Source organism: Homo sapiens, chromosome 4 (assembly GCF_000001405.40).
Source record: "Homo sapiens chromosome 4, GRCh38.p14 Primary Assembly".
Taxonomy (NCBI): Eukaryota; Metazoa; Chordata; class Mammalia; order Primates; family Hominidae; genus Homo; species Homo sapiens.
In genome coordinates this window covers 90,296,369-90,309,908 of record NC_000004.12, presented here as the reverse complement: position 1 = coordinate 90,309,908, position 13,540 = coordinate 90,296,369, and the positions used below count along the sequence as shown (strand labels likewise).

At 36.2% G+C, this 13,540-nt stretch overlaps 1 protein-coding gene across 38 annotated transcripts in view; it reads right to left on the bottom strand.

Moving 5' to 3' along the window:
- Positions 1-13,540, bottom strand: part of CCSER1 (coiled-coil serine rich protein 1) — a 1,477,902-nt gene that overhangs the window by 1,295,387 nt on the left and 168,975 nt on the right. For all 38 annotated transcript variants that reach the window (XR_001741218.2, XR_938733.3, XR_938734.3 and 35 more), the window contains exon 2: positions 301-1,665. Coding sequence is in view for 33 of the 38 variants with exons in the window: in XM_011531936.2 (XP_011530238.1) it covers positions 301-1,624 (1,324 nt within the window). In the remaining 5 variants the exon portion in view is untranslated. The remainder of the gene's footprint in view (positions 1-300; positions 1,666-13,540) is intronic.

Sequence of the window (13,540 nt, the reverse complement as noted above, 5' to 3'; positions counted from 1 at the left end):
CACTTTCTTCTGAAGGTGCTCCAATAAACACCGTAACTAAGAGGCTGCTTCTTAGTTATGGATAACATAAGTGAGAAAAAATGAGTAATATTGCTGAATTACATTTTCAGCATAACACAATTGATGTAAGTTTAAAATCAAGCAGGGGAAACATTTAACACAAATTATGAATAGGAAACCATTTCGAAAGTGAAAAACAAGAAAAATGTGGTTTCCATTCATGAGATGGAATAAGAAAACTGAATAAAGTATAATGAAAATTAATTCATATCATTTGTTATACAAAAAAAATCAGCATACCTTTGGCAGGATTTGCTTCATATCCATGTGATGTTTTGTTAAAAATATGATGATCACCAGAAGTAGGTATTATCTTTGAATCTGAAATAGGATGGATCCCTTTTACATGTTCCGCTATTGCTTTATGTTGCTCATAAAATCCAAGTTTCCTTGGGGAGTTTGTCCCCAGCATTGTTTCACCATTTTGTAACCCTATATTTTCTTCTCTTTCACTATCTGCTGGTAGGTTACTCTCTGAGTGGCTCACACTTGTAGCAGGTAGTTCAGCAATTTGTAATAACACTTCCTTCTGATTAGCAGCAGAGGTTTCCGGTAATGAATTAGATTCAGTGCTACATTGACCCTCTAACCTATATTTCCCAGGAGACATAATTGCACAGGGAACAGTTCCCGTAAGTTCTGTTGTTGTCTTTGTAACAGCAGCAGAATTGAGGGACATCTGAGAGGTAGAATCATTGTGGCCAAAGTTGTCACAGTGGGATGCCATGCTTCCACTTTTAGAAAATGCATCCATTTCAGACACAGAATCTTCAGTCAAGGCTAAAAATTCTGAAGGTGTCTGAGCTGTGGTAAGATCAGCAGAAAGCAAAGGAGATTGTAAAGAGCTTCCTGCCCGTTCTGTTACATCCACAGAACAGGATGGCGAAGCTCTTACTAATACAGGTTCTCTCTCTTGGTACTGTGTAACTTCCAATGAGAATTCAGACTGTTGTACCAATGAAATGGATTGGCTCTGTAGAACTGGCTTAGAAAATTTATAGTGAGATGAAAAAGATTTAGGGAGTAGCTTCCTTGTTGACTGCTTAACAGAACGACGAGTTTGGTCTTCTGTGAAACCAGAATCATCCCCTTCACTTTTGCCAGAACTTAGACAATTTATAAAGACATTCTTGTTAGTTGAGTGCTCTTTTTCCCTTTCAAAATCCTCTGTCAAAGATCTTGTTATCTTCTTATTTCGTGAACTACTAAAACCAACAGAATGTCTTCCCCTGGTCTTAATATGTTCTTCCAAACTCAGTTTCTGCATATTGCTGTGACCAGGTTGAGCACCATTTGAAATACTAAGGTTCTGGTTGGTAGGCTCTTGCTTAGGCTCACTCCCCTTCTTATGGTGGAAGCTAATGGAAGGAGTACGGAATATGCTCCTCCGTTTACCTGTGCTACCTGAGCTTGAGTTAGTGCTGGAAGGAGAGGAACTGTGGACACCAACTGTATTACTGGAAGAAGGTGAAGAAGGAAGAGAATCATGTCTTCTGTTAATACTTCTTCTGAATATTGGCAACCGGGAGACCAGGGTAGATCGTCTTGATCCTGAGTCCCCCATTGGGAATCAAAGGCTTGCACTGTGAAAGCCAACTTTGCAGCCTGAGAAAGGTTAAAACAAAAACAACAAGTCAATAGAATTCAACTACAAATAATACATTTTAAAACAAAATATTGCTTTTCGAGACACAAAATAGAATTTAGTTTATACTAAGACGATAAATAACAAAAATCTGATACCTAATAAAGATTTTTTGAATTTATAAGTAGTAAAAATGACCCAATAGCTAGTATTGATATTTTGTAATGATGCAAACATTTTAAGATTAACAGAAATATTTAAAGTTTATGCAAGAGTGTTGGCTTTGGAGACACCAGGTATTTAAGACCCAGACTTCCTACTTATAGCTGTTCCATAATTTTGGTAAACTGTTTATTCTTAACTTTTTATGTTTATTTATTTAGATGCAGTAGGCACGTGACAGACATAAAAATTTCTGTCTGGGTAAATGCCCCACCATGACTCCTGTCAGAGACCACTAGAAGTATTTTCATTTTACACCACACGACTCAACAAGTTACTGACGTGAGCTCAACAGAATCACAAACAAGACAATGGTATAGCCTGACACTACAATCAGCACTCAAAGAAAAGCCAATGGCTATAGACTTTTTTTCTTCTCTTTTTTTTTTTTAAATTATGCTTTAAGTTCTAAGGTACATGTGGACAATGAGCAAGTTAGTTACATATGTATTCATGTGCCATGTTGGTGTGCTGCACCCATTAACTCGTCATTTACAATAGGTAATTCTCTTATGCCATCCCTCCCCCCTCCCCCCACCCCAGGACAAGTTTGGTTTGGGAAGCTGAGAGATAAGCAGGCCATTAGAAGAAGAAACTAAATCACAAGGATATAACATAGGGTTATAAACAAGTTAAACTTATGAGAGAACCACAGGTATCAGTTGAAGAAAATACTTGAGTAAAAACTAAGACAGTTGGTAACCTTGAGAGAAGTGACAATACATACTGAGAGAATCAGAAGCATAGAACATTTATGAACCATATTAATGTCAGTATATTCAGGGTATCAATGGAGAAGATAAAGGAGGAGGAGGACACGAGTGAGGAGATGTGGCAGCTACAACTCATCAACTGCTACGTACCAGGTACTTTCCCACAGATTATCTCTTTCACACCTTATATTTCTAGAAATAAGTAATAAGACTATGAACATTTTACAACAGAAAAGCAACTTGCATAATGTCATTCAGCCAACACCTGGTAAAGCAGGAATAAAAAACCCTACAGGGTCAGCTCATAATCAGCATGATACATACTGCATTCACTAAAGTAATTAGTCATGAACTCCTACTGCTGAATGAAGGCCCAGCTATGTTTCTACATCAAGGATTCAAACTTGTACAGCAAATATTGCTATTCTAGTGACTGCCATTTTTCACTGATTTTTAAACTGTACCTGATTTGGTTGCTGTTTTGTTTATGAGTTTTGCTTAATCCTTCAACTGTAATACGATCTCTCCCTTTGTAAATTGAATCAGACTCTGTTTCATTTCTTAGTCTTTACAACCAAAACTACGTGACTAAAAATTAACAAATACTATACAAAATTTAAAATCCTCTATTTTATCATCCTGATAAATATGAGAACTGATCAAGTAAAATACTTTCATTTCCTTGAACAAGTATGTGACAAAAATGACAAATATTTGCTTTCAGATATGCATTCATAAGTATTTAATATTTTTCTCCAAACAACATAAAATCTAACATATTTGTATTATAAGATTTTTGATGGATGATTTTTCACTACAGTCAATGAATTTAATTTTAAAAATTGATTTTATTTTTAATTGACAGATGACAATTGTATATACTTATGAGGTATAACGTGATGTTTTGATATTTTTATATTATGAAATAAGCAAATTAACATACTTATCACCTCATATACATATCATTTTTTGTAGTGACAGCACTTAAAATCTACTCTTTTAGCCATTTTGAAATATGCAGTACATTATTATTAACTATAGTCACCATGCTGTCGAATCAACCTCTAAAACTTATTTCTCCTGTCTAACTGAAACTCTGTACCCTCTGAACATTATTTCCCCATTCCCCTGGCCCCGACACCCCAGCCCCCGGTCCTTCCATCCTGGGGCCTGGTAGCCATTCTACTTTCTACTTCTATGAGTTTAATTATTTAGATTCCATATATAACTGAGATCATGCAATATTTGTCTTTCTGTGTCTAGGTTATTTCATTGAGCATAATGTCCTCCAGGTTCATCCATGTTGTGACATGTGACAGAATTTCTTTTTTAGGCTGAATAGCATTTCATTATATAAATAAACCACATTTTCTTAATCCATTCATCCACAGATGTACACTTAGGTTTGTTACATATCTTGGCTATCATGAATAATGATGCAATAAGCATAGGAGTACAGATATCTCTTTGACATACTGATTTCAATTGTTTGGCTATATACCCAGAAGTAGGATTGCTGGATCATATGGTAGTTCTGTCTTTAGTTTTTGAGGAACCTCCATACTGTGTTCCATAGAGGCTGTGCTAATTTACACCCCCACCAACAGTGTGCAAGAGTTCCCTTTTCTCCATATGAATTTGAATTTAAATCAAACTATATGTGAAACACTCCAAAACATTTCAGTATTCTTGTAAGGCTTTGCTTGAAGAAAACCTAAAACATAAACAGACATTTTAGCTCTTACAATTTTTCACAAATAAAAATGTGTGATTTTCCTCACAGCTTAGATTTTCCAAAGTGTATACAATGAATAATACATTTTTTCATGACTATATTCTTTAAAATGGTTTAACTAACATCACTTACAGCCACGATATTTTTCACTTATATACAACATTTATTTCCATTCAATGCCTATTGAAGAATTTTGCTCTAATTAGAATATAATCAACCATAATGATTTGCAGCTGGTTGTGAACCTACAGACTTCAATGCATGAATGTCAAGATGTCAACCATCATTACTGAAATACTCAAATTTATGTATATTAAAATATTTATTGGCCATTTTTAAAGTATTTCCTGCATTTGGATCAGCATTAACAGTAAATGAGGCCGGGCGCGGTGGCTCACGCCTGTAATCCCAGCACTTTGGGAAGCCAAGGCAGGCAGATCACGAGGTCAGGAGATTGAGACCATCCTGGCTAACACGGTGAAACCCCGTCTCTACTAAAAATACAAAAAATTATCCAGGCATGGTGGTGGGCGCCTGTAGTCCCAGCTACTAGGGAGGCTGAGGCGGGAGAATGGCATGAACCCAGGAAGCGGAGGTTGCAGTGAGCCAGATCAGGCCACTGCACTCCAGCCTGGGTGGACAGAGTGACACTCTGTCTCAAAAAAAAAAATAAAAAACACCAACAACAACAGTAAATGAAAGAGTCAGTCCCATAACTCTTTAGCAAGTATTCAAAGGATTCAACTAATGAGAAACATTTTTAAACAATTTTATTTTTTTTTATTTTTTATTATTATTATACTTTAAGTTTTAGGGTACATGTGCGCAATGTGCAGGTTAGTTACATATGTATACATGTGCCATGCTGCTGTGCTGCACCCATTAACTTGTCATCTAGCATTAGGTATATCTCCTAAAGCTATCCCTCCCCACTCTCCCCACCCCACAACAGTCCCCAGAGTGTGATGTTCCCCTTCCTGTGTCCATGTGTTCTCATTGTTCAATTCCCATCTATGAGTGAGAATATGCAGTGTTGGGTTTTTTGTTCTTGTGATAGTTTACTGAGAATGATGATTTCCAATTTCATCCGTGTCCCTACAAAGGACATGAACTCATCATTTTTTATGGCTGCATAGTATTCCATGGTGTATATGTGCCACATTTTCTTAATCCAGTCTATCATTGATGGACATTTGGGTTGGTTCCAAGTCTTTGCTGTTGTGAATAATGCCGCAATAAACATACGTGTGCATGTGTCTTTATAGCAGCATGATTTACAGTCCTTTGGGTATATACCCAGTAATGGGATGGCTGGGTCAAGTGGTATTTGTAGTTCTAGATCCCTGAGGAATCGCCACACTGACTTCCACAATGGTTGAACTAGTTTACAGTTCCACCAACAGTGTAAAAGTGTTCCTATTTCTCCACATCCTCTCCAGCATCTGTTGTTTCCTGACTTTTTAATGATTGCCATTCTAACTGGTGTGAGATGGTATCTCATTGTGGTTTTGATTTGCATTTCTCTGATGGCCAGTGATGGTGAGCATTTTTTCATGTGTTTTTTGGCTGCATAAATGTCTTCGAGAAGTGTCTGTTCATGTCCTTCGCCCACTTTTTGATGGGGTTGTTTGGTTTTCTCTTGTAAATTTGTTTGAGTTCATTGTAGATTCTGGATATTAGCCCTTTGTCAGATGAGTAGGTTGCGAAAATTTTCTCCCATTTTGTAGGTTGCCTGTTCACTCTGATGGTAGTTTCTTTTGCTGTGCAGAAGCTCTTTAGTTTAATTAGATCCCATTTGTCAATTTTGGCTTTTGTTGCCATTGTTTTTGGTGTTTTAGACATGAAGTCCTTGCGCATGCCTATGTCCTGAATGGTAATGCCTAGGTTTTCTTCTAGGGTTTTTATGGTATTAGGTCTAACATTTAAGTCTTTAATCCATCTTGAATTGATTTTTGTATAAGGTGTAAGGAAGGGATCCAGTTTCAGCTTTCTACATGTGGCTAGCCAGTTTTCCCAGCACCATTTATTAAATAGGGAATCCTTTCCCCATTGCTTGTTTTTCTCAGATTTGTCAAAGATCAGATAGTTGTAGATATGCGGCATTATTTCTGAGGGCTCTGTTCTGTTCCATTGATCTATATCTGTGTTTTGGTACCAGTACCATGCTGTTTTGGTTACTGTAGCCTTGTAGTATAGTTTGAAGTCAGGTAGTGTGATGCCTCCAGCTTTGTTCTTTTGGCTTAGGATTGACTTGGCGATGCAGGCTCTTTTTTGGTTCCATATGAACTTTAAAGTAGTTTTTTCCAATTCTGTAAAGAAAGTCATTGGCAGCAATTTTAAAATCACTCTTGCTCCTAAATACTTAATGAAAACCACCAGACTTCCACTGGGCACAAATAATCTATTTAGGTCAGTGATATGTTTGTCCTAGTTTCTTTAAGTAAAAACATCATAGATACTAAAAGATATCTGCACATTATTGAATAACCTGGAGTAGATATAAATCTACTAGAGGTAAATATCCTTCACATGTCTTTTATTTTTAATATGAACTTGTATTTCCCTTGAGAGTTTCTCAGCCAAATAAGAGGAAAATAGACTATAGGTCAAGATTATCCATATTCTTTAGGAAGGCTCTTTAAGGCTTGGATGCTGTCTACATCTCCAGATTCATTAGTCCTCTCGTCACACTTCATGCTCCGCTTTCACTGATGACTGCCATTTTCTTATCTTTCTTTCCTTTTCCTTTTCTTTCTTCCTTTTTGTTTTGTTTTGTTTTGTTTTGTTTTTGGAGACAAGGTCTTGCTCTGTCACCCAGGCTAGAATGCAGTGTAGCAAACATAGTTAACTACATCCTCGAATTCCTGGGCTCAAGCCATCCTTCTACCTCAGCCTCCCAAGTAGCTGGGACTACAGGCATACAGCATCATGCCCAATTAACTTTAAAAAAAATTTCATAGAGACAGAGTCTTGCTATGTTGCACAGGCTGATCTCAAACTCCTGGCCTCAAGCAATCCTCCTGCCTCGGTGTCCCAAAGTGTTGGGAGTACAGGCATGAGCCACTGCACTTGGTCATGACTGCCATATTCTAATCACTTTCACCTTCAAGACCTTTGGAGATTTGGGTCCACCAGCTTGGGATGCCCTTCCTGTAACTCCATGGCAAAAGCCTCCTACTATTATAACATTGCCTCTTCCAAGTTGCCATCCCTGACACTCCTTCCCTACCTGACACCCCATTCCCACTGTCTCTCATTTTGGACCTGGTACTCCTCCTTTACATATCCTCAAGTATTAGCTTACATAGTAAGCATCTGTATATTTATCTCAATTTACTATTTTGTCTTAAGCTTCTTAATGCCAAAAACCATTTCTCCTTGCTTTAATACCCAGTGCCTGATAAAATACGCAATTTGTACCTATAGAATACATAGATTTTAAAAAATGAAGTTTTAGCTTCAACACTTCAGGATTTCAAACCTACATAAATATATTTTCTGTCTCACTGCCATGAATAAATCTTATAATCCTGAGGGTAATTATGCTAAATTACAACTTTTAGAGATGCATATTTATTAAAAGTCTTCCAAACTGTAAAAAGTTCAATAATCTGAAATTTGCTAATAAACAGTTGAAAACATGAAAAAATAATGCTGAATAAGTTTAATGAAACAATATGTCATCATAGCAACTTCAATTATTCATGAAAGATAAATGTAACAACATCATAACTGCTAATTTTATTTCTTTTTACTACAATGTTTTTATAACAGTTACCTTTAATCCCTTAGCAAACCTTGTATATATTTTTATAAATTTCCAAATTGGATAAAATAAACATCTTTTCTCAATTCTTATCTAATATTTCTCAATTCAGAAGTCATAGTCACTTTAATAATAATAGGTCTTAAAAATATGAAGGTTGAACTAGACCTATCCATTATCTAGGGGTCTTTATTACCATAAACGTTATTTTATTTTGAAAAAACAAATTTGTTACATAAGAGAAGTGTTTTTTAATTATAACTTTAATGCTATGTAAATAAACAAAAGATAAGATTAACTTGAAGACAATACTACTACACAAATGTATACAGACCCTATTAGAAATAAAACTCAGTTTGATCTCTTAGAAATTTACAATGGCAACCTGAAGAAACAGTACTTTTGTTCTTTAGCACCAGGATTTAACAAAAGGCTTCCAGAAAGTACAGTACTTTATTCAATGACCTCTCCAACTTTAGTAAACACAATCATTACCCTGAACAGAGTACCACATTATAGGAGGATCTATTCTAAATAAAATTAGAGTCAAATTTCTTATTTGATATGGTTGAAGAAGACATGAATTCTAGTTAAATGATTCATAATTTGGATATGGATCATTAATATGTTACCTACTTAAAGTTGGACTAAAAGTAAAATATATTACATAATTAAGACATTTTAAAAATTATTCTCTGGGTTCACTGGTTCATGCCTGTCAATCCCAACATTTCGGGAGGCTGAAGCAGGAGGATAAATTGAGCCCAGGGGTTGGAGACCAGCCTGAGCAACATAGGGAGAACCCATCTCTTAGAAAAAAAGAAAAAAAAATTAATTAACTAGGCATGGTGGCACACACCTGTTGTCCCAGCTACCTGGAAGGCTGAAGTGGGAGGATCACATGAGCCTTGGAGGTCAAGGCTGCAGTAAACCACAATAGCACCATTGCACTCCAGCCTGGGTGACAGAGCGAGACCCTGTCTCAAAAAACAAATACTCTTTCTTTTGTGATTCCAAATGCATACATTAACCAACAGCATAAAACAGTCCTGCAGGGTTTCAGAGCTGTATCATCTTGGAAGCTAACTACCATACACTTAAATAGGTCTATCTGTCTGTACAGGTAAAAGGAAAGCAAAATTGCCTTCGCTTTTCTTCTTTCTCATTGCTTTTCAAATATTTTCCTAGAATTTGGACACCCCTCATATTTTTTCATTATGAGTCAGAGCTAATGACATGACACCTGGTCTCATATATGAGATAATCCTAAGTATTTTTGTCTCTCTTAATTACTTTTTACGCACACATGCAGTTGGTTGGCACTTAAATGCAAGTACTACCACTTACTAAGACTATAAACTGGAACATCAATAATAATTATTTTATAGAGTTTTTTAAGAATGAGAAGATACTACATCACAAAGACACTAACACACTGCTTGGCACAGATTAGGTATAGAGCTCTGCCTTTTCTGAGGAAATATATTCAAACAAGAGGTACATGGTGGTGTAGCTCTTAGAATAGTTATGAAAATCATCTACCTAACAAAACATGTGTCCCAACCAGTCTATTAAAAATGACATAAAATAATACTGAAAAGACGTATATAATGTGAGATCAGTAGTCTGACCTCTTGTAATCAAAGTCCCTAAATTTATATTTTTATTGGCATTTGAAAACAAATTATCAATACTTGAAGTGTTTAGGGGAATGCTGCATAAGTTAAATCTGGTCCCAGCAAGATTCTTTCTCAGAAAAACATTCAGAAAATAACCTGGTAGAGCCTTAATGACCACACTAAAAAGAAAATCTTCCATTATACTTGGTGAAAATAAAAGAAGATCCCCAAAAAAACAACAGATATTTCCTAGGTAATAATTTTAACATTAAGAAAATGATGGCAGAAAATTAATAATATGTAAACATATCAAAGGACATTGATCATTTTTTACTAAAATAAGTAGGATATCAGCTTGAAGTAATTTCCCAGTCTTACCTAATTATATCATTTAACCCAGATTTAAACAGGGCTCACACTTGTGAGGATTCTTGCAGTCCAGGCTCTTTCTACTAGAAAGACCATGCTATCTACATCTCAACACTTTTTCAGTTTATCTCTAAATGCATTTCCAAAATGTTTTGCTGTTTCCCCTTAAATAAATGGGAAAATAATGGAGGCACTTTTAACAGCTAAATGACTCCCACAACAATGACGAAAGCCACTTCTGCCAGTAAGGTCAGTGAGGAGAATATGAGACACATTAAAAGGATGGCTAATCTGGACCAAGTGGATGATCAGTCACAGAAAAGAGAATGAGATTGTCAGCCTAAGGTAGAAAAAGCCAGAAATCACATAATTGATTAGATATGTTTAATTAACAATTTATTAAATTTGTATATAATTTAGCTATATTGAGTACACTAAGTTGTTCTCAACAAATAAACATAATAACCAAAACAAATAATTGCTTATATAAGAAATGTCAGTCTTTGGGTCACTCCTAAAAATGAATTGACACAAAACATGGTATATAAGCAAAGACAGACTGTCTCTGATTAGATTTGTATAAATCAATCCCCCAGATAAAAAGAGAAAGAGGGTGAGTGGTGTGCAAGTAGCATGACAATGGGAAAAGCTACAAAAGGGAAGAACACATTTGAAAGAAATTATTCTAGCAGGATTTAGGAAAGCAGATGAGTCGTTTGGATTAATTAATTAAGGGATGATGATATATATTTAGAAAGACATAAGTTACACATTTATATACGTAATCTTGATACTCAGCCAGATACAATCTTAGTTTTTAATGACCAGAAGAAACAGAGAGAAAAGAGAAATAGAGAAAGATGGGCTTTGGTCAGATTTAGAAAGAAGTTAGTGGTAAAAGAAGAAAGAAGTGTAAAAGCATATGACCCAGGCTTAAGTAAATAATAAGAGGCATATTTATGTTTAAATAATCTTACGGTTCCATGTACTAAGGTTTAGACACAGTGAATGCATAACTGTTAAGAATTCAGACTCTGATACAAGAACAGCTGGGTTTAAATTCAACCTGCTCCTGAATGACTACTGGGTACATAACGAAATGAAGGCAGAAATAAAGATGTTCTTTGAAACCAATGAGAACAAAGACACAACATACCAGAATCTCTGGGACACATTCAAAGCAGTGTGTAGAGGGAAATTTATAGCACTAAATGCCCACAAGAGGAAGCAGGAAAGATCCAAAATTGACACCCTAACATCACAATTAAAAGAACCAGAAAAGCAAGAGCAAACACATTCAAAAGCTAGCAGAAGGCAAGAAATAACTAAAATCAGAGCAGAACTGAAGGAAATAGAGACACAAAAAACCCTTCAAAAAATTAATGAATCCAGGAGCTGGTTTTTTGAAAGGATCAACAAAATTGATAGACCACTAGCAAGACTAATAAAGAAGAAAAGAGAGAAGAATCAAATAGACGCAAGAAAAAATGATAAAGGGGATATCACCACCGATCCCACAGAAATACAAACTAACATCAGATAATACTACAAACACCCCTACATAAATAAACTAGAAAATCTAGAAGAAATGGATAAATTCCTCGACACATACACCCTCCCAAGACTAAACCAGGAAGAAGTTGAATCTCTGAATAGACCAATAACAGGAGCTGAAATTGTGGCAATAATCAATAGCTTACCAACCAAAAAGAGTCCAGGACCAGATGGATTCACAGTGGAATTCTACCAGAGGTACAAGGAGGAACTGGTACCATTCCTCCTGAAACTATTCCAATCAATAGAAAAGAGGGGATCCTCCCTAACTCATTTTATGAGGCCAGCATCATCCTGACACCAAAGCCTGGCAGAGACACAACCAAAAAAGAGAATTTTAGACCAATATCCTTGATGAACATTGATACAAAAATCCTCAATAAAATACTGGCAAACCGAATCCAGCAGCACATCAAAAAGCTTATCCACCATGATCAAGTGGGCTTCATTCCTGGGATGCAAGGCTGGTTCAATATACGCAAATCAATAAATGTAATCCAGCATATAAACAGAACCAAAGACAAAAACCACATGATTTTCTCAATAGATGCAGAAAAGGCCTTTGACAAAATTCAACAACCCTTCATGCTAAAAACTCTCAATAAATTAGGTGTTGATGGGATGTATCTCAAAATAATAAGAGCTATCTATGACAAACCCACAGCCAATATCATACTGAATGGGCAAAAACTGGAAGCATTCCCTTTGAAAACTGGCACAAGACAGGGATGCCCTCTCTCACGACTCCTATTCAACATAGTGTTGGAAGTTCTGGCCAGGGCAATCAGGCAGGAGAAGGAAATAAAGGGCATTCAATTAGGAAAAGAGGAAGTCAAACTGTCCCTGTTTGCAGATGACATGATTATATATCTAGAAAACCCCACTGTCTCAGCCCAAAATCTCCTTAAGCTGATAAGCAACTTCAGCAAAGTCTCAGGATATAAAATCAATGTACAAAAATCACAAGCATTCTTATACACCAATAACAGACAAACAGAGAGCCAAATCATGAGTGAACTCCCATTCACAATTGCTTCAAAGAGAATAAAATACCTAGGAATCCAACTTACAAGGGATGTGAAGGACCTCTTCAAGGAGAACTACAAACTACTTCTCAATGAAATAAAAGAGGATACAAACAAATGGAAGAACATTCCATGCTCATGGGTAGGAAGAATCAATATTGTGAAAATGGCCATACTGCCCAAGGTAATTTATAGATCCAATGCCATCCCCATCAAGCTACCACTGACTTTCTTCACAGAATTGGAAAAAACTACTTTAAAGTTCATATGGAAACAAAAAAGAGCCCACATTGCCAAGTCAATCCTAAGCCAAAAGAACAAAGCTGGAAGCATCACGCTACCTGACTTCAAACTATACTACAAGGCTACAGTAACCAAAACAGCATGGTACTGGTACCAAAACACAGATATAGATCAATGGAACAGAACAGAGCCCTCAGAAATAATGCCGCATATCTACAACTATCTGATCTTTGACAAATCTGAGGAAAACAAGCAATGGGGAAATGATTCCCTATTTAATAAATGGTGCTGGGGAAACTGGGTAGCCATATGTAGAAAGCTGAAACTGGATGCCTTCCTTACACCTTATACAAAAATTAATCCAAGATGGATTAAAGACTTAAACGTTAGACCTAAAACCATAAAAACCCTAGAAGAAAACCTAGGCATTACCATTCAGGACATAGGCATGGGCAAGGACTTCATGTCTAAAGCACCAAAAGCAATGGCAACAAAAGCCAAAATTGACAAATGGGGTCTAATTAAACTAAAGAGCTTCTGCACAGCAAAAGAAGCCACCATCAGAGTGAACCGGCAACCTACAGAATAGGAGAAAATTTTTGCATCCTACTCATCTGGCAAAGGGCTAATATCCAGAATCTACAACTCA